Here is an 18443-nt window from a genome sequence, read left to right on the forward strand (position 1 = left end):
GGCACCCAGAGACTAAAAACCAGAAGGGCACTACTGAATCAGGGTACAGGCAGTGTCTGAGACTCTGGTTAGCCTACAGAGTCATCAACGCACGTGTGCTGTAGACTTTTTTGTTTTTGCAAATGAGGGTGAGATCATATCTCACTGTGGTTTCAATGTGCATTCCTCCCTAATGACTAATGAGGTTGAACCTCTTTCCATCAGTTTATTGGCTCCTGGAGTTTCCTTTTCTGTGAATGGCTTTTGCTGTTGTATTCCATTGGGTCGTTTGATTTTTTTCCCTTTCCCTATTTTTAACTGACAAGGAACAACCGTATATATTAATGGTGTATGACATGACATTTTGATATAGGGATGTATTGTTGAATGACTAAGCAAGCCCTTTAACTTATGCATCACCTCACATACTCATATCATTAGTTTGCAGTGAGAACATTTAAAATCTACTCTCTTGGCAACCTTCCTCCCTTCCTTCCATCCTTCCTCCCTTCCTTCCTCCCTTCCTTCCCCCTTCCTCCTTCCCTTCCTCTCTCTCTTTCTTTCTCTCTTTTATCCCTCCCTTCCTTCCTCCCTCCGTCCTTTCCTTCTTTCTTTCTTTCTCTTTCTTTCTTCCTTTCTTCCTTTCCTTTCCTTTCCCTCTTTCTGTCTCTCTTTTCCCTTCCTTCCTTCCCTCCCTCCCTCCCTTCCCTGCTTCCCTCCTTCCCGCCTTCCCTCCTTCATTCTTTCCTTCCCTCCCTCCCTCCTGCCTGGATCTTGTTCTGTTGCTCAGGCTGGAGTGCAGTGGTGCAATCTCCACTCACTGTAACCCCTGCCTTCTGGGCTTAAGAAATCCTCCTACCTCAGTCTTCCAAGTAGTTGGGACCACAGGTGCGTGCCACCATGCCTGGCTAATTTTTGCGTTTTTTTTTTTAAATAGAGACAAGGTCTCAATATGCTTCCCAGGCTGGTCTCCAACTCCTGAGCTCAAGCAATCCACCTGCCTTGGCCTCCCAAAGTGCTGAGCGAGATTACAGGCTTGAACAACAGTGCCTAGCCAGCAATTTTCAAGTGTACACGAGATTGTTATCAACTATAGTTAGTGTGATGTACAACACATGTCTTGAACTCACTCCTTCTGGCTAACCAAAATTCCATGTGGGTCATTTAATTTTATCTTACTGATTTGTAAGAGTTCCTTGGATACTTCAGATTGTGGATACTGTTTGCAGCGTTGCAAACATTTCCCCCAGGCTCTCACAGCTTTTGGCTTTGCTTGGTGACTTGGGCCAGGGCAGTGGCGGTGGCTGGTGGTGGCCGTGAGGGGCTGCAGGACTTCTTTCAACAATATGGTTTACTATTTATTTATTTATTTATTTTTCTGAGACACAGTCTTGTTCTGTCACCCAGGCTGGAGTGCAGTGGCGTGACCTTGGCTCACTGCAACCTCCGCCTCCCAGGTTCAAGCGATTCTCCTGCCACAGCCTCCTGAGTAACTGGGATTACAGGCATGCACCACCACACCCGGCTAATTTTTGCATTTTTAGTAGAGACAGGGTTTCGCCATGTTGGCCAGGCTGGTCTCGAACTCCTGACTTCAGGTGATCCACCTGCCTTGGCCTCCCAAAGTGCTGGGATTGTAGGTGTGAGCCCCTGTGCCCGACCCACAGTATGGTTTAAACAGAGAGGTGAGGGGGCTTTGAGGAACATTTTATTTTTTCTTATTTTATTTCTAACTTTGTGAAACCCTAGGAAATGTCCTGGAAACATTTGCTTTAGGACATGAGACAAAAGAGCAGGTAGATGCCGGGCGTGGTAGCTCACACCTGTAATTCCAGCACTTTGGGAGGCTGAAGAAGGGGGATTGCTTGAGGCCAGAAGTTGAAGACCAGCCTGCGCAACATAGCAAGATCCTGCCTCTACAAAAAAAAAATTTTTTTTTAAATTAGCCAGCCTTGGTGACATGCATCTGTAGTCTACTCAAGAAGCTGAGGCGAGTCTGGGCGGGGTGGCTCATGCCTGTAATCACAGCATTTTGGGAGGTCAAGGCAGGTGGATCACCTGAGGTCAGGAGTTCAAGACCAGCCTGACCAACATGGTAAAAATCCCATCTCTACTAAAAATACAAAAAGTAGCCGGGACTGGTGGTGTGCGCCTGTAGTCCCAGCTACTCGGGAGGCTGAGGTGGGAGAATCGCTTGAACCTGGGAGCAAAGGTTGCAGTGAGCCAAGAATGTTCCACTGCACTGCAGCCTGGGTGATAGAGTGAGACTGTCTCAAACAAAACAAAACAAAACAAAACAAAAACAAAAATAAAAAGAGCAACTAGAGAAAGAGGGAGTGGATGAGGATGGGGCAGGGGTGCTGGGAGAATGTCGCAGAGAAAGGTCTAGGTGAGCTGGCAGAAAACAAATGTCTAAAAAGTTTGGTTCTGAACAAATTGGTTGATAAATGAATTGGTGAATGTTATGAATAATTTCCATTGCTTTTTGTTATATGTTGATTATTTTCAAATTTATTTAGGTATTTATTTTTGAGACACAGTCTTGCTCTGTCACTCAGGTTGGAGTACAGTGTCGCAAACACAGCTCACTGCAGCCTCCACCTCCTGGGCTCACGCAATCCTCCCACCACAGCCTCCTGAGTAGCTGGGACTACAGGTGTTCACTACCACTCCTGCCTAATTTTTGTATTTTTTTTTTTGGTAGAGACAGGGGTCTTGTTATGCTGTAGGGCTGGCTTTGAACTCCTAGGCTTAAGCGATCCTCCTTCAGCCTCCCAAAATGCTGGGATTACAGGTGTGAGCCACTGTGTCCGGCCTGCATTTATGCTTTTTTGTCCATTTCTCGGCACTTTATTTTGGGATGAATAATGTTTTTGAACCATGGGATGGTTTGACGACTTTATATCCCTTTTAAAACATTTTTAAAGTATTTCCATTCATTTTTATTCAAAAATTTTTGAATTAATTTTAAGGAAGCAAAGATTTTTCTTTACATTTGGCAGTGAGCTTTTTAAAATTCAAATTTCAAAATCATGTCGGGTGAATTCCATGTGAATTCCCATGTGAATTTCCATGTCGGGTGAAAATCATGTCCAAGTGAATTGCCTGAAAACTGGTTGCAATAATGATTTCCACACATTGGTTTGTGAATTAATAAAATTTTTGCACCCTGAGTGGTTTCTTTTTTACAAGTTTGCACTTATTTGAAAGCAATTTTGTCCCATTTGTAGCTTATTTTGTTTTGAAAAATTCTTGAGTTCCTTTTCCTTCACAGATACCGACTTCATTACTTATCAGCTCCCATACGCTGCCCCTCACAGGCTCTATTTCATTGGTTTCTCCCCGCAACTTTCCCTGCCTGGTTCTAAGTATTTTCCAGTTTTACAGATAATGAAATTTGGGGCAGGAGCTCTTGTAGCAGCTCAGTTCAAACCCAAGTTTGTCATCTCTGAATCTATTTCTTTAACCAGGATCCGGTCCTTCATACTTTCATTGCTTTTTGATCATTATTTTCGCATGTAATTGGCTTGGGTAAAACCATCTTCAGAAAGAAAAAATGCAGGCCAGGAGTGGTGGCTCACACCTGTAATTCCAGCACTTTGGGAGGCTGAGGTGAGAGGATCCCTTGAGTTCAGGAGTTTGAGATCAGCCTGGGCAACTTAGTGAAACCCCATCTCTACACACACACACACACACACACACACACACACACACACACACACACACAAACACAAATAGCCGGTTATGGTGGCGCATGCCTGTAGCTTAGCTACTCAGGAGGCTGAGGCAGGAGGACCATTTGAGGCCAAGAGTTCCAGATAACCTGGGCAACATAGCAAGATCCCCCTCTCTAAAATATTTAAAAACAAAAACAAAAAACAGAAAGAAGAAACACCAAGCTCCAATAAGTATACAGACATATTTATCCTTTTTGCGTATTTTTTGGCAAAAAAAAAAAGTGAAGATTTGAAACGAAATGAAGTTTTAACTTAGGAACATGACATAAAAAAAGATTTTGGTCCTGATCATTTCTCCGTGGTTTTGCCTCCAGCAACCCAGGCATGACGAGACCTGCACAGGGCAAACTCCTGGGGATGACGCGACGTTGCTGTTACCGGGAAACCGGCCTCGCAGGGCTTGGGGACCAAGCGAGTCTTTGGGAACTCTCCACCCACTAGCGCGGGGCGCCCAGGCGCGCCCCGGTGTCTGCTGCCCCCGTGCGGCCGCGCTGCAGTCCTGCACCCTCAGGGGGCGCACCTGAGAGCCGATGGGTACCCAGGCTGGCAGACCTCAGAGGTGGGCTTCCTGCTTCTCCTCTCATCCTGGGTCCTGGGGCGGAGAAGGGCAGAGGCCGGTGAACGGCGCCCCACTCCCCGCGGCGTTGTGCAAGGCAGCGGCTACTGATAACTGGGGTTTCCCGCCTGGTCCTCCCTGCTGCCCTGCAAAGTGAAACTCCAAAGCCACACAGAGCAATGGTGCATGGATGGCCTTGAACCTGGTGCTGAGTAAGAAAGAGAAGGGCGCGAGCGGGGGGAAGCTTTGGACTGAGGGTTCAAGGCTCCCAGTTGATTGATCTACGTTGGAGGCTCCTCCCACAGCAGGTCCTGCTACCTTCAGGTGCAACCTGGTAGGTAGGGCCGTTATTCATTTCTTTCTTTTTTTTGGACAGGATCTTACTTTGTCACCCAGGCTGGAGTGTAGTGGTGCAATCAGGCTTACTGCAGACTCGACCTCATGGGCTCAAGCGATCCTTCTGCCTCAGCCTACTGAGTAGCTGGGAACACAGGCACATGCCACCATGCCCGGCTAATTTTTGAATTTTTTTGTAGAGATGGGGTCTTGCTATATTGCCCAGGCTGGTCTCAAACTCCTGGGCTCAAGCAATCCTTCCACCTCTGCCTCCTAAAGCACTGGGATTGCAGGCCTGAGCCACTGCACCCAGCCGTCATTTTTCTTTTCTTTTCTTTCTTCTTTTTTTTTTTTTTTGAGACAGAGTCTTGCTCTGTCACCCAGGCTGGAGTGCAGTGGCATGATCTTGGCTCATTGGTTGCAACCTCTGCCTCCCAGGTTCAAGCAATTCTCCTGTCTCAGCCTCCTGAGTAGCTGGGATTACAGGCACGTGCCACCACGTCCGGCTAATTTTTTTGTATTTTTAGTAGAGACAGGGTTTCGCCATGTTGGCCAGGCTGGTCTAGAATTCCTGATCTGAGGTGATCCACCAGCCTTGGCCTCCCAAAGTGCTGGGATTACAGGCATTAGCCACTGTGCCCAGCCAGCTTTCATTTCTTAATTCAACAAATTTACACAGAGCTCCTTCTGTGCCCCTGGCACCGTTCTAGGCATGGGATGCAGCAGTGAGGCAGGTTCGTGGCCCTTGCCTTCAGAAGTGGCTTGGCAGGAAGGGGAGAAGGCAGGAAGATGAGAAGGTGATCCCGGGGTTTCTGGCTTGTGGACCTGCGTGGTTGGGACTGCTCTCCCTCAGTTAGCTTAGGGGACATCCTGAGTCGGTTTCACACCCCAGTGGAGGCTCCTGACCTCTGACACTAGGTATCCAGGCTTCTGTGGGCACCTGTTCCTGTGGTCTGGGCAGCCACAGAGCCACAAAGAGCCCTGGCTGGAGTCTAGCTTGGGGACTAAGACCAGGGCTTTGGTGGGGGCAGGGAAGGGCAGGTGACTAGAGCTGGGACTGAGACATGTGCCTAGCATTCCCATGGGGCTGCCCATAGGGGCTGTGGGACAGAGTGAGGTCTCTTCTGCTCTAGCTCCCACACTGACCACGGGGAGTGTGGTCAGTATGAGGCTGGAGATATCAGCTCAGCCTCTGTGGCAGTGGAGTTCTGGGGACAGGGATACCAGGTGATGGTGGTGGCAAACCAAAGAGAGGAGGGAAAACAAACTGCAAATCCCAGTCTCAGCCACCTCTCTTTCTTTTCTTTTCTTTTCTCCCTCCCTCCCTCCTTCCTTCCTTCCTTCCTTCCTTCCTTCCTTCCTTCCTTCCTTCCCTTCTTTTTTTTTTTTGAGATGGAGTCTTGCTCTGTCACCCAGGCTGGAGTGCAGTTGCCTGATCTCGGCTTACTGCAACCTCTGCCTCCCGGGTTCAAGAGATTCTCTTGCCTCAGCCTCCTGAGTAGCTGGGATTACAGGGATGCACCACTACACCCAGCTAATTTTTATATTTTTGGTAGAGACCAGGTTTCATCATGCTGCCCAGGCTGGTCTTGAACTCCTGGCCTCAAGTGATCCACCTGCTTTGGCCTCTGAAAGTGCTAGGATTACAGGAGTGAGCCACTGCACCCGGCTCAGCCACCACCTTCTGACCCCCAGCAATCCCTTTGCCTCTCTCCCCAAACCTACTCCTTCTCTTCCCCGCCCCCACTTGGTGGGCAGCGCTACTTTCTGCCTTTCACTCAAGTCTTCTGGGTTGGGGGTATCCCTGACCCCTGTCTCGCTTTACTTCTTTTCCTGTTCATTCCTCTGTTGGGATGCCTCTGTCTATGTGTCTTTCACATTTCTGTATGTCTTGTGAGTGAGGCACTAATGGATTGCCTTTTGCCCTGGACTTTCTTTTCTAGGATATCTGTATATCAGACAACCTTGGAAGACATAATGTCTCCTTCTGGGGCAAAAGGCAGCCCTGCTTACTGCACATTAGAAAAGATTTGGGTTTCCTGGCCAGGCGCGGTGACTCATGCCTGTAATCCCAGCACTTTGGGAGGCGCTGGCAGGCGGATCACCTGAGGTCAGGAGTTCGAGACCAGCCTGGCCAATATGGTGAAACCCCATCCCTACTAAAAATACAAAAATTAGCTGGGCTTGGTGGTGCGAGCCTGTAATCCCAGCTACTCGGGAGGCTGAGGCAGGAGAATTGCTTGAACCTGGGAGGCGGAAGTTGCGGCGAGTGGAGATGGTGCCACTGCACTCCAGCCTGGGCGACAGAGTGAGACTCCATCTCAAAAAAAGAAAAAAAGAAGGCTGGGCGAGGTGGCTCCCACCTGTAATCCCAGCACTTTGGGAGGCGCTGGCGGGTGCATCACCTGAGGTTAGGAGTCTGAGACCAGCCTGGCCAAGCTGGAGAAACCCTGTCTCTACTAAAAATACAAAAAAGTAGCCGGGTATGGTGGTAGGCGCCTATAATCCCAGCTACTTGGGAGGCTGAGGCAGGAGAATTGCTTGAACCCGGGAAGTGGAGGTTGCAGTGAGCCGAGATTGTACCACTGCACTGGGTGACAGAGCAAGACTCCATCTCAAAAAAAAAAAAAAAAAAAAAAAAAGAAAAGAAAAGATTTGGGTTCCCTAAACTCAAGCCACCTCTCCTGTAACACACCCACCTCAGATACTGCCAGGCATCATCTGGCCCTTGTCATATCACCCTGTGGGATTTGGAGCTCAAGGAATGAATGGAAAATGCTTATAACCTAGTTCACTGCTATTGCCATGAGTAACATTGTCTTTGATCTCTGACCTGGGAGTCTCATGTCTTCCTGTGGCAGCTGTGGAGCTCTGGTTGGCTAACTTGTTAGCATGAAATTGGGCAACGTCTCAGATCATCGTGGGTCTTGACATCCTCCAATTCTATCTGTTGTACCTGCTACAGATTTCTGGCATCTGTTGTCTCCATTTCCAGGGCCTCAGCCCTGGTCAAGGCTCCCATCATCACATGTCTAGGGGTTTATTTGTTCTGGATTCCTTTTTGCTGTCCCTACCCCAGAGTCCTCTGCCTTAGTTTCCATGCACACTGCTTGAGCCGCCTGCTGCAAGACCCCCACCCGACCATCTGCTGGAGGGCTTTCTCTGGTGTTTGTGCTGGTAAGATTGGAGGTTCAGCGGGAGTTAATGTCCAACAGGAAGCAGACAGGTCATGGAAGATAAATACCCCAGTATTCATGCTCCTTGGGTGGGGTGACTCTGAGGTGCGTTCTGCACCATTTTCCAGGGGATTTTGGGGATCAGCCCCGGTTGTCTGAACTCAAACCCTGCTCATGAACTCATCTGTCCTTGCCTCTCTTTCTTTTCTTTCTCTTTCTTTTCTTTCCTTCCTTCCTTTTTCTTTCTTTCTTTCTTTTTCTTTCTCTCTTTTTCTTTCTTTTCTTTCTCTTTCTTTCTTTCCTTCTTTTTCTTTCTCTTTCTTTCTTTTTCTTTCTTTCTTCTTTCTTTCTTTCTCTCTCTCTCTCTCTCCCCCTCCCCTCCCCTCCCCTCCCCTTCCCTCTTTTTATCACAGAGTCTCACTCTCTTGCCCAGGCTGGAGTACAGTGGCATGATCTCAGCTCACTGCAACCTCTGCCTTCTGGGTTCAAGCAATTCTCCTGCCTCAGCCTCCTGAGCAGCTGAGATTATAGGTGCACGCCACCATGCCAGGCCAATTTTTTTTTTTTTTTGTATTTTTAGTAGAGACGGGGTTTCACCATGTTGGTCAGGCTGGTCTCTGCTGAGACCAGCTTGGCTGGGGAGACCCTAACCCAGCAGCACTAGAGGAATTAAACACACACACACACACACACACACACACACACACACACAGAGAAATAAAGAGGTGTGAAGTGGGAAATCAGGGGGTCTCACAGCCTTCAGAGCTGAGAGCCTCAAACGGAGATTTACCCACGTATTTATTAACAGCAAGCCAGTCATTAGCATTGTTTCTATAGATATTAGATTAACTATAGATTAGATTAGATTCCCATAGAAGTATCCCTTATGGGAAACAAAGGGATTGGGCCCAAATAAAGGGATGTGTTTGGCTAGTTATCTGCAGCAGGAGCATGTCCTTAAGGCACAGATCACTCATGCTCTTGTTTGTGGTTTAAGAACGCCTTTAAGCAGTTTTCCGCCCTGGGTGGGCCAGGTGTTCCTTGCCCTCATTCCGGTAAACCCACAACCTTCCACCGTGGGTGTCATGGCCATCACGAACATGTCACAGTGCTGCAGAGATTTTGTTTATGGCCAGTTTTGGGGCCAGTTTATGGCCAGATTTTGGGGGCCTGTTCCCAACAGGTCTCAAACTCCTGACCTCGTGATCTGCCTGCCTCGGCCTTCCAAAGTGCTGGGATTACAGGTGTGAGCCACTGTGCCTGGCCCCTTGCCTCACTTTCTGACTTCCTATGGATGCTTGCAGGGCCCACTCCCCAAATAAACTCATCACCCTTCAATTTTTTTTCTTTGTTTAGAGATAGGGTCTTGCTCTGTCACCCAGGCTTGAGTGATCCTGGCTCACTGCAACTTCTATCTCCTGGGCTCAAGCGATTCTCCCACTTTAGACTCCTGAGTAGTTGGGACTACAGGTGTGCATGACCAAGGCTGGTTAATTTTTTTCTTTTTTTGTTTTTTTGTAAGACAGGGTCTTGCTATGTTGCCCATGCTGGTCTCAAACTCCTGGCCTCAAGCGATCCTCCTACCTTGGCCTCCCAAAGCATTGGGAATCCAGGCATGAACCCCGTTCCTAGGCGGCACTTGATTCCTGTTCCAAGATCTGGGGAAATCCGACCCGAAGGAAGCTTTGCTCTAAGACCTCCTTGGCCGTGTTGGGCTCAGACGTGGACTGAGGTTTCAGAGGAAGCAGTGGAGCGGCAGGAGCCAGGTAAAGGCAGTGGGTCACTGGCGGCAACCGGGTCCCCATGGTAACTTGGTCCCCACCCTGTGGCATCTGTGAGGTCACCCTGCTTCTCCCAGCTGGAGTAGGTGGGGGAGGCCAGACATGGAGGCCCTTCCTCCAGTCAGATCCAGCCTTTTGGGGATCCTGTTGCAGGTTACGAGGCTCTCAGTGCTGGTGAGTGGGGGCTGGGGGTAAGTGGGGTGGGGACCACACACCAGGCCCTTCACAGAGCCACCTCAGAGCTGCCGGGCCCAAGCCCTGCCTGTCCCATCCAGTGGAACGAGGTGGCTGCCTGCCTTCCAGAATAATCTGACATCTCCCAGAAGCCCCACTCCAAACTACAGTGCTGACATTTTCTTTTCTTTTCTTTATTTAGAGACAGGGTCTCGCTCTGTCGCCCAGCCTGGAGCGCAGTGGTGCCGGCTCAGCTCGTTGCAGCCTCCAACTCCCGGTCTCAAGCAATCCTCCCCCCTCAGCCTCCAAGTAGCCGGGACTATAGGTGTGCACCACCACGCCTGACTAATTTTTGTATTTTGTAGAGATGGTGTCTCACTACGTTGCCCAGGCGGGTCTCCAACTCTTGGCCTCACATGATCCTCCTACCTCAGCTTCCTGAGGTGCTGGGATTATAGGTGTGAGCCACCGCACCTGGCAGCATTTTCTCTATTGAGGGTCACTCCTATGGGTGAATCATTGTTTTTCCCATTCATTTTTTCTTTTTTTTGAGACAGAGTCTCGCTCTGTTGCCCAGGCTGGAGTGCAGTGGTGCGATCTCGGCTCACTGCAACCTCTGCCTCCTGGGTTCAAGCAGTTCTTCTGCCTCAGCCTCCCAAGTAGCTGGGACTACAGGCACGTGCCATCATCCCTGGCTAATTTTTTTTTTTTTTTGTATTTTTAGTAGAGACCCTGTTAGCCAGGATGGTCTCGATCTCCTGACCTTGTGATCTGCCCGCCTCAGCTCCCCAAAGTGCTGGGATTACAGACATAAGCCACTGCGCCTGGCTCATTCATCTCTCTCTCTTTTTTTTTTTTTCAGATGCAGTCTTGCCCTGTCGCGCAGGCTGCAGTGTAATGGTGCGATCTCGGCTCACTGCAACTTCCACCTCCAGGTTCAAGCAATTCTCCTGCCTCAGCCTTCCAAGTAGCTGGGATTACAGGCGTGCGCCACCACGCCCAGCTAATTTTTTGTATCTTTAGTAGAGACAGGGTTTCACCGCATTGGCCAGGCTGGTCTCAAACTCCTGACCTCGTAATCCACCCACCTCGGCCTCCCAAAGTTCTGGGATTACAGGTGTGAGCCACCGCACCTGGCCCATTCATCTCTTTTAAACATACACATGCTTGTGGTCGGGGTCACAACTCAGTCACACTTAGGAGGCCGAGGTGGGAGTATAGATTGAGCCTGGGAGGCCAAGGCTGCAGTCAGCCAAGATCATATAACAGGGGGCAGTTGAGAAAGACAGACACCATTAGATTTGCATCTTGGGACCGGGAGCTGTGGCTCACACCTGTAATCCCAGCACTTTGGGAGGCCGAGGCGGGCAGATCACCTGAGGTCAGGAGTTCCAGACCAGCCTGACTAACATGAAGAAACCTTGTCTCTACTAAAAATACAAAATTAGCCACGCGTGGTGGTGCATGCCTGTAATCCCAGCTACTCAAGAGGCTGAGGCAGGAGAATCGCTTGAACCTGGGAGGCGGAGGTTGCGGTGAGCCGAGATCCCACCATTGCACTCCAGCCTGGGCAACCCTGGGCAACAAGAGCAAAACCCTGTCTCAGAAAAAAAAAAAAAAAAAAAAAAAAAAAGATTTGCATCTTGGCTGTTTTACCCTCTAGCTGTGTGAATTTGGGCAAATCACTTCACCACTCTGAGCCCGTTTCCTCTCCTATAGAAATGATCTTGTGGGATCATGTGGGATATCATAGGTTTCCCTCCTCCCTGGTCTCAGCACCATAACCTGGGAGGTCCTATTTCCTAGCTCTACCCTAATTCTTCTCCCTGCTGGACCCTTTGGTCTCAGCATAGCTCCACCCTCCACGTCCCAAGCTCTGCAAATCCAGCCCGTGAGTGGGGGGTCTTGCAGCCAATCTCAGATGGTGGGGCCTGTGGACACGGGGATGGGGGGTCCAGGTGGGTGGATTGGTGTCACTCAAGGGCTGGGGGCTTTCCAGCTCTGATGAAGGGTCTCCAGGACTCAAGAACAGCTTTCCCCCACCTCACCCCAGTCCTGCAGCTTCATCTCAGTGAATGGGAGACACCGTTGTCCAACTCACCACCCAGATCAGAAATCTGGAATTCTTTTTTTTTTTTTTTGAGATGGAGTCTCACTCTGTTACCCAGGCTGGAGTGCAGTGGCACGATCTGGGCAAACTGCAACCTCCGCCTCCTGGGTTCAAGCAATTCTCCTGCCTCAGCCTCCCGAGTAGCTGGGATTACAGGCATGCACCATCATGCCCAGCTAATTTTTGTATTTTTAGTAGAGATGGGGTTTCACCAGGTTGACCAGGCTGGTCTCGAAATCTTGACCTCAGGTGATCCGTCTGCTTCGGCCTCCCAGAGTGCTGGGATTACAGGTGTGAGCCACCATGTCCGGCTGGAAATCTGGAAGTCTTTCTGGATCTCTCTCCTTCACCCTTCTCATTAGGTCTGTCGTGAATTATGTGACCCCTGCCCCATGTCTCTCACGCCTCCCTGCCCCTAATGGCATTGTCCTTTGCCCCAGCAGCCCTCCTGATGCCAGGGGACAACTGGTACAGAGGCAAAGCCCAGCTACTTGGAAGAAGACAAGTGACCTGGGTTCAAAGCCCACAGGATTGGGGTGGGGGATCGTAACATGGTAATAATAGCCATGAAACCTCCTTCAGTCTGGAGTATTGTAAATAATCATTTAAATCCAATGGAGGCCAGGTATAGTGGCTCATGCCTGCAATCCCAGCACTTTGGGAGGCTGAGGCAGGAGGATTGCTTGAGGCCAGGAGTTCGAAACCAGCCTGGATAACATAGCAAGACCCCGCCTCTACAAAAAAAAAAAAAAAAAAAAAAATTAGCTGGACTTAGTGAGATGCACCTATAGCTCCAGCTACTTGGGAGGCTAATGGGGGGAGGATTGCTTGAGCCTATGAGTTCAAGACCAGCCCAGGCATAATAAGAAGACTCCATTTCTTAAAAAAAAAAAAAAAAAAATTAGCCAGGCATGGTGGCATGCACTTGTGTGGTCTCAGCTTTTTGGAAGGCTGAGATGGGAGGGTTGTTTAAGTGTGGGAGGTCAAGGCTGCAGTGAGCTATGATGACACCACTGCACTCCAGCGTGGACAACAGAGTGAGATCCTGTTTCTTAAAAAAAAATATCCAATGGAAAGGAACCCAAATACAATATGAAACACCTTCTAATGTTCCCTTCTCAGAAGGGAGTCCTTCAAAGTGGACAGAGTTCATCCTTGCACCTGTGGGGAGCTGAGGCCTTGAGATGGGGATCTGACTCAAGGTGGTCCAGCAGCTTCACCTCTACAGTAAAAGTGGGGTTCCTGGCCAGGCGCAGTGGCTCACGCCTGTAATCCCAGCACTTTGGGAGGCTGAGGCGGGTGGATCATCTAAGGTCAGGAGTTCGAGACCAGCCTGACCAACATGGTGAAACTCCATCTCTATTAAAAATACAAAAACTAGCCAGGTGTGGTGGCAGGCGCCTGTAATCCCAGCTACTCAGGAGGCTGAAGCAGGAGAATCGCCCGAAACCGGGAAGTGGAGGTTGCAGTGAGCCGAGATAGCGCCATTGCATTCCAGCCTGGGCAACAAGAGTGAAACTCCGTCTCAAAAAAAAAAAAAAGAAAAAGAAAAAGTGGGGTTCCTGTCCCAGGAGGGTGATGATGGCTGACGGTTGTCTCTCTCTCTTCTTCTGCAGTTGGTTCAGAACCGAGATCACCTCTATAATTTCCTGCTCCTCAAGATCAACCTCTTCAACCACTGGGTGTCAGGGCTGGCCCAGGAGGCCCGGGGGTCCTGTAACTGGCAGGCCCACCTACCCCTGGGAGCTGCAGCCTGCCCCCTGGGCCAGGCTCTCTGGGCTGGGCTGGCTCTGATACAGGTCCCCGTATGGCTGGTGCTACAGGGACCCAGGCTGATGTGGGCTGGCATGTGGGGCAGCACCAAGGGCCTGGGCCTGGCCTTGCTCAGTGCCTGGGAGCAGCTGGGCCTGTCTGTGGCCATCTGGACAGATCTGTTTTTGTCATGTCTGCACGGCCTGATGTTGGTGGCCTTGCTCTTGGTGGTAGTGACCTGGAGGGTGTGTCAGAAGTCCCACTGCTTCCGACTGGGCAGGCAGCTCAGTAAGGTGGGTGGTCTCGGGGTGAGGCTGGGGTGTGGAGGGCAAACCTGGGGTACTGGGTGTGGTCAGGGCTGGCTGGGCTTGCAGGGGGGAGCCACAGCCAAGCAGTGTAACCCTATGAGCTCCTAAGGGCCACCTGCCCATCTGTCTCCCTGTTCCAGGCCTTGCAAGTGAACTGCGTGGTAAGGAAGCTCCTGGTACAGCTGAGACGTCTGTATTGGTGGGTGGAGACTATGACTGCCCTCACCTCCTGGCACCTGGCCTATCTCATCACCTGGACCACCTGCCTGGCCTCCCACCTGCTGCAGGCTGCCTTTGAGCACACGACCCAGCTGGCCGAGGCCCAGGAGGTTGAACCCCAGGAGGTCTCAGGGTCTTCCTTGCTGCCCTCACTGTCTGCGTCCTCGGACTCAGAGTCTGGAACAGTTTTGCCAGAGCAAGAAACTCCCAGAGAATAAATGTATCCCCATCTGCCTCTCCTGGTCTGGCCTAGCCTATGGTCTCACTCCCTCTTCCCTAATGGGCTGGAGAGATGTTGTGTGAGTGATGTGCATGTGTGTGCCTGCATGTGAGCCCAGGACTGCCTCTGGGAAGGAAATCACTTTCCGTCAGCATCTTCTATGGGCCAGATATCAAACATCTCAGACAATTTACTCATAATTTGGTTTAAATCTCCTAGCAACACAGGCATCAGGTTTGATTAGCACCATTTACAGCTGAGAAAATTGAGCCTCAGAAGGTTGAACTTTCCCAAGGTCACAGTCTGTCAAGGGCAGAACCAGCACTGGGTCTCTAGATTTTTTGTTTCCCAGAATCCTTAACTTTCTCTAGGTGCGTGCCCCTGGTTCTCAGAAGTATTGGTGCCCAGGGCTTTAGGGGAGATGGGCAGTTAGAGACTTTGGCCTCTGGGGGGTGCCAGGGCCTCACATTTCAGAGATTTAGAAAGCTTTGAGAAACAGTTGTGAGCCAGGCTTCAAGGAGCCCATTCATTCATGCACTTGGCCATTCATCCATCCACCTATCCACCCACTCACAAAGCCATCCACAGAACCATCCATCCACCCACCCACCAATCCATTCACCCACTCACCCATTCACCTGCCCATCTACTCACACATCCACCCATCCATCCCTCCACCCATCCACCCATCCATCCATCCATCCATCCATCCATCCATCCATCCATCCATCATCACCCAACAACCTATGCATTCATCCATCCATCCATCCACTGATCCATTTATCCATCCATCCATCCACCCAACCACCCATCCATTGACCCACCCATCTACCTACCCATTTAATTACCCATTCATCTATGCATTCATCCACCCATTCGTGCATCCATCCATCCATCCATCCATCCATCCATCCATCCATCCATCCACACACCCACCTATCCATCCATCTACCCACCCACTGATCAATTTACCCATATATCCATCCATCCATCCATCCTCCCAACCACCCATCCATTCACCCACCCATCTGCCTACCCATCCACTCACCCATTCATCTACCCATTCATCCACCCATTCATGCATCCATCCATCCATCCGTCTATCCATCCACCCATTCATCTATCCATCCACTGGTCCATTTGCCTATCCATACATCCACCCACCCACCCACCCATCCATTCACCCACCCATCTGCCTACCCATCCACTTACCCATTAATCTCCCCATTCATCAACCCATTCATGCATCCATCCATCTATCCACCCACTCATCCACCCATCCATCCACCCATCTATCCATCCATTCATCCATTCATCCATCCATCCATCTATCCATCCACTGATCCATTCACCCATCCATCCATCCATCCTCCCAACCACCCATCCATTCAGCCACCCATCTGCCTAACCATCCACTCACCCATTCATCTACCCATTCATCCACCCATTCATGCATCCATCTATCCATCCATCCATCCATCCATCCATCCACCCACCCACCCACCCATCCATTCATCCACAGAACCAACCACACCCACTCACCCGCTATCTGTTGAAGAGCCATCTGTCTCCCTGGGGAAAGGGGAAACCTATCCAGTATCTCAGCACTCCCCTAACCTGTGAGTAAGGACACAGGGTCCTGCTGCATGGGTGGCTGATGCTGCTGTGCCAGCTCAGGCTGTGATGCTTCCAATCCCCAAGACTCAGCCTTCAGGTGAGTGATTCTGCTGAGAGGGGAAGGGATGGTTTCTTGAGTGTTTGCAGTTACCTCTCACCTACTCCCAAGCCAGAGGGTGGTGGTGTGAGCGTGGCTCTTCTCCACTCGGGTTCCCAGCTCAGTGAGGGCCTCCCTTACAGCTCAGGGTGGATGTGGGTGAACTTCCAGACCCTTCCTCCAAGTCTAAGCAGCAAGGCTGTCCTGCTCTAGGAGGGACATCTGAGGGGTCCCATCTGGCCAACGAGGTAGAACATGTACCAGGAAGGACCTATAAGCACCTGGTCAGAGGGGTAACATGACTGGGATTCTAGAACATACACACAGCTTTCAGGGAAGCATGAGTGCAGGAGTAGGTGATGTCAGCTCTTTGCTGAGGCAGGGACTGGAGGAAAGGAGGAGGCCCCAGAGCAGTTTGGGGCCAAAGTGGGGATGGACAGGAATGTGGCCCAAGCCCCGTGGAGAAGATCTGGGCTTGGGGACAGAAGCTTGGATTCTGTGCCTCTGCCTCTGCCTCTGCCCGCCTAGGTCACTGGGTGTGACCTTGGATGAGGCTCTCTTTGCCCACTCTGGACTTCGGTTCCCATGTCTGTGCAATGCGGGATGGGTGGGGTGATCCCCGATAAGGGAGTCAGCATTTGGTTTGGTTTTTGTTTTTTTGAGACAGGGTTTCGCTGTCACTCAGGCTGGAGTGCGGTGGCATGATCTCCGCTCACTGCAGCCTCCACCTCCCAGGTTCAAACAATTCTTGTGCCTCATCTCTCGAGTAGCTGGGACTACAGGCGAGCGCCACCATGTCTGGCTAATTTTTGTATTTTTAGTAGAGACGGGGTTTCACCATATTGGCCAGGCTGGTCTCAAACTCCTGACCTCAGACGAACTGCCCACCTTGGCCTCCCAAAGTGCTGGGATTACAGGTGTGAGCCACTGCGGCTGGCCGAGAGTCAGCATTTGGGGTTCCTTGATGCCAGGCCTTGTTCCTCAGTGCCCAGGTAAGAGGTGGGGTGGGGCAGGAGAGGAGCAGTCCCCCTGTCTACGCAGCCTGCCAATAAGGCCCTACACTGGCTGACTTCTGGCTCCCTGAATCCCCTGTCCTGGAGTTATTGCTGCTTTTGCAAGATCTCTTCTAGGACTTGAATTCTTCCGGCCTTCCAAGGTCTCTGGCATCCTGGGGGAAAGGGAGAAGGCCAGAATCTCCCCTCGGCTGCCACTCACAATGGTGGGCACAGCAGAGGCCTTGGGGTCAGAGAGCCTTGGGTTTGGATGCTGGATCCACAACCTCTCAGCTGTGTAACCTTTGGCAATTTACTAAACCCTGAGAGCCTCAGTTTCCCCTCCTGTGATCAGGGTATAATCACAACACCCCAGATGTCACAGGGCTGTTGCCTGGTCTGTGCACGTGCGGTCCCCGCTCAGAGCAGGCATGGGAGGCTCTTGGGACCCCACTCCCTGGCTCCCCATCTCCCAGGCCTGCTGCCTTTCTGGGGGCTGCAGCTTCTGAGGCCCGGGGTGGGAGCAGTCAGTCCGTCTGTCTCAGGCCTGTGAGCATGGAGGGGCCCTGGCCTGCTGGAAGAAAACAACTGGTGGCCGGTGTCAGGGGGTGGACGGGGCATGGGCAGGGTGGGGGGAGCTGGCTGCAAGGCCAGCCAGCAGCTTCACGCAATCTGTCTGCTATGCAGTCCTGGGCCTGGCCTGTATTTATTTATGCTGAGCGTGTATTTATATCAGTCCCTTTTTCATTAATAGGGCAGGAAATGGCTGGAATTGTTACATACCTGGCGGGCCAGGGGTCCCACTTCGCCAAGACACACAGGGCCCTGGCTGCCCCGTTGTGATTGTAAGGGCCCCCCTCCTCAGTCTGCCCGCAGGCCCCGGCCCGAGTTCCTGGCCCTTCCCTGACCCCCCCGCCTCTTGTTTTGAGACCCTCTCCACCTCCCGGAGCCCTGGAACCCACATTCCCGGGCGAGGGGTTCATTTGCAGGCCTCTCCCTGTCCCCCGGTTCATCCTGACCTCATCCCAACCCCAGGAAAGGCTGCGGTGTTAGGGGCTGTCAAAGTGCGCACTGAAGGATGGGGGAGGGGCTGGTGAAGTCCACGCAGAGCAGCGGGAGTTTCGGGGAGAGATCAGGGTCGGGAGGGTTTGGGGATGGGATCCTGGCGCCCAGGATGGGGGGACTGGACAGAAAAGGAAATGAGGGGATACATAATAAGAGGGTTCCCCTGAGCAGAGGGGTGGTCCCACCCCCTGGGGCTTCGCTCTCCACCAAGCCCAGTCCCATCATGTAAGCATGGGTGGCCTCTGTCACTTGGGACCTGCCTAGCCCACCAGAGGGGTCTGTGTGTCTATCACCAGCCCCCCTGCTGCCCCAGGCCCAGTGGGG

General features: G+C 51.3%; 1 protein-coding gene across 3 annotated transcripts, besides 4 other annotated features; it reads left to right on the forward strand.

The window, feature by feature from the left end:
- Positions 1-60: a silencer, noted in NCBI's record as "silent region_18269". NCBI's record gives its function as "represses an Ori minimal core promoter by ATAC-STARR-seq in GM12878 lymphoblastoid cells {active_cell/tissue: GM12878}" and the evidence as "EXISTENCE:reporter gene assay evidence [ECO:0000049][PMID:35858748]".
- Positions 4182-4681: an enhancer, noted in NCBI's record as "H3K4me1 hESC enhancer chr7:73270039-73270538 (GRCh37/hg19 assembly coordinates)". NCBI's record gives its function as "activates a minimal SCP1, AML or CMV promoter by ChIP-STARR-seq in primed H9 embryonic stem cells {active_cell/tissue: H9 hESC(primed)}" and the evidence as "EXISTENCE:reporter gene assay evidence [ECO:0000049][PMID:30033119]".
- Positions 4273-4482: an enhancer, noted in NCBI's record as "active region_26132". NCBI's record gives its function as "activates an Ori minimal core promoter by ATAC-STARR-seq in GM12878 lymphoblastoid cells {active_cell/tissue: GM12878}" and the evidence as "EXISTENCE:reporter gene assay evidence [ECO:0000049][PMID:35858748]".
- Positions 4603-4662: an enhancer, noted in NCBI's record as "active region_26133". NCBI's record gives its function as "activates an Ori minimal core promoter by ATAC-STARR-seq in GM12878 lymphoblastoid cells {active_cell/tissue: GM12878}" and the evidence as "EXISTENCE:reporter gene assay evidence [ECO:0000049][PMID:35858748]".
- On the forward strand, positions 9321-14363 carry TMEM270 (transmembrane protein 270). 3 transcript variants are annotated; one of them, XM_017011741.2, is made up of 3 exons: positions 9321-9550; positions 13466-13894; positions 14050-14363. In XM_017011741.2, the coding sequence occupies exons 2-3, from the start codon at positions 13685-13687 to the stop codon at positions 14344-14346; spliced, it is 507 nt and encodes a 168-aa protein (XP_016867230.1). In that variant the 5' UTR covers positions 9321-9550; positions 13466-13684; the 3' UTR covers positions 14347-14363. The 3 variants fall into 3 exon arrangements, with proteins under 3 accessions (XP_016867230.1, NP_872310.2, XP_011514087.1); NM_182504.4 differs by lacking the exon at positions 9321-9550 and adding an exon at positions 9632-9739; XM_011515785.3 differs by lacking the exon at positions 9321-9550 and adding an exon at positions 10023-10064.

The sequence above is a fragment of the Homo sapiens genome, chromosome 7, assembly GCF_000001405.40.
Source record: "Homo sapiens chromosome 7, GRCh38.p14 Primary Assembly".
Lineage (NCBI taxonomy): Eukaryota > Metazoa > Chordata > Mammalia > Primates > Hominidae > Homo > Homo sapiens.

Excerpts from the sequence above, each read along its gene's own strand:
- TMEM270 (NM_182504.4), top strand. The coding sequence starts at position 9,668 with ATGGAGGCCCTTCCTCCAGTCAGATCCAGCCTTTTGGGGATCCTGTTG. Across the intron at positions 9,740-13,465 it reads TTACGAGGCTCTCAGTGCTG|TTGGTTCAGAACCGAGATCA; the intron begins GTGAGTGGGGGC and ends CTTCTTCTGCAG. Across the intron at positions 13,895-14,049 it reads TGGGCAGGCAGCTCAGTAAG|GCCTTGCAAGTGAACTGCGT; the intron begins GTGGGTGGTCTC and ends TCCCTGTTCCAG.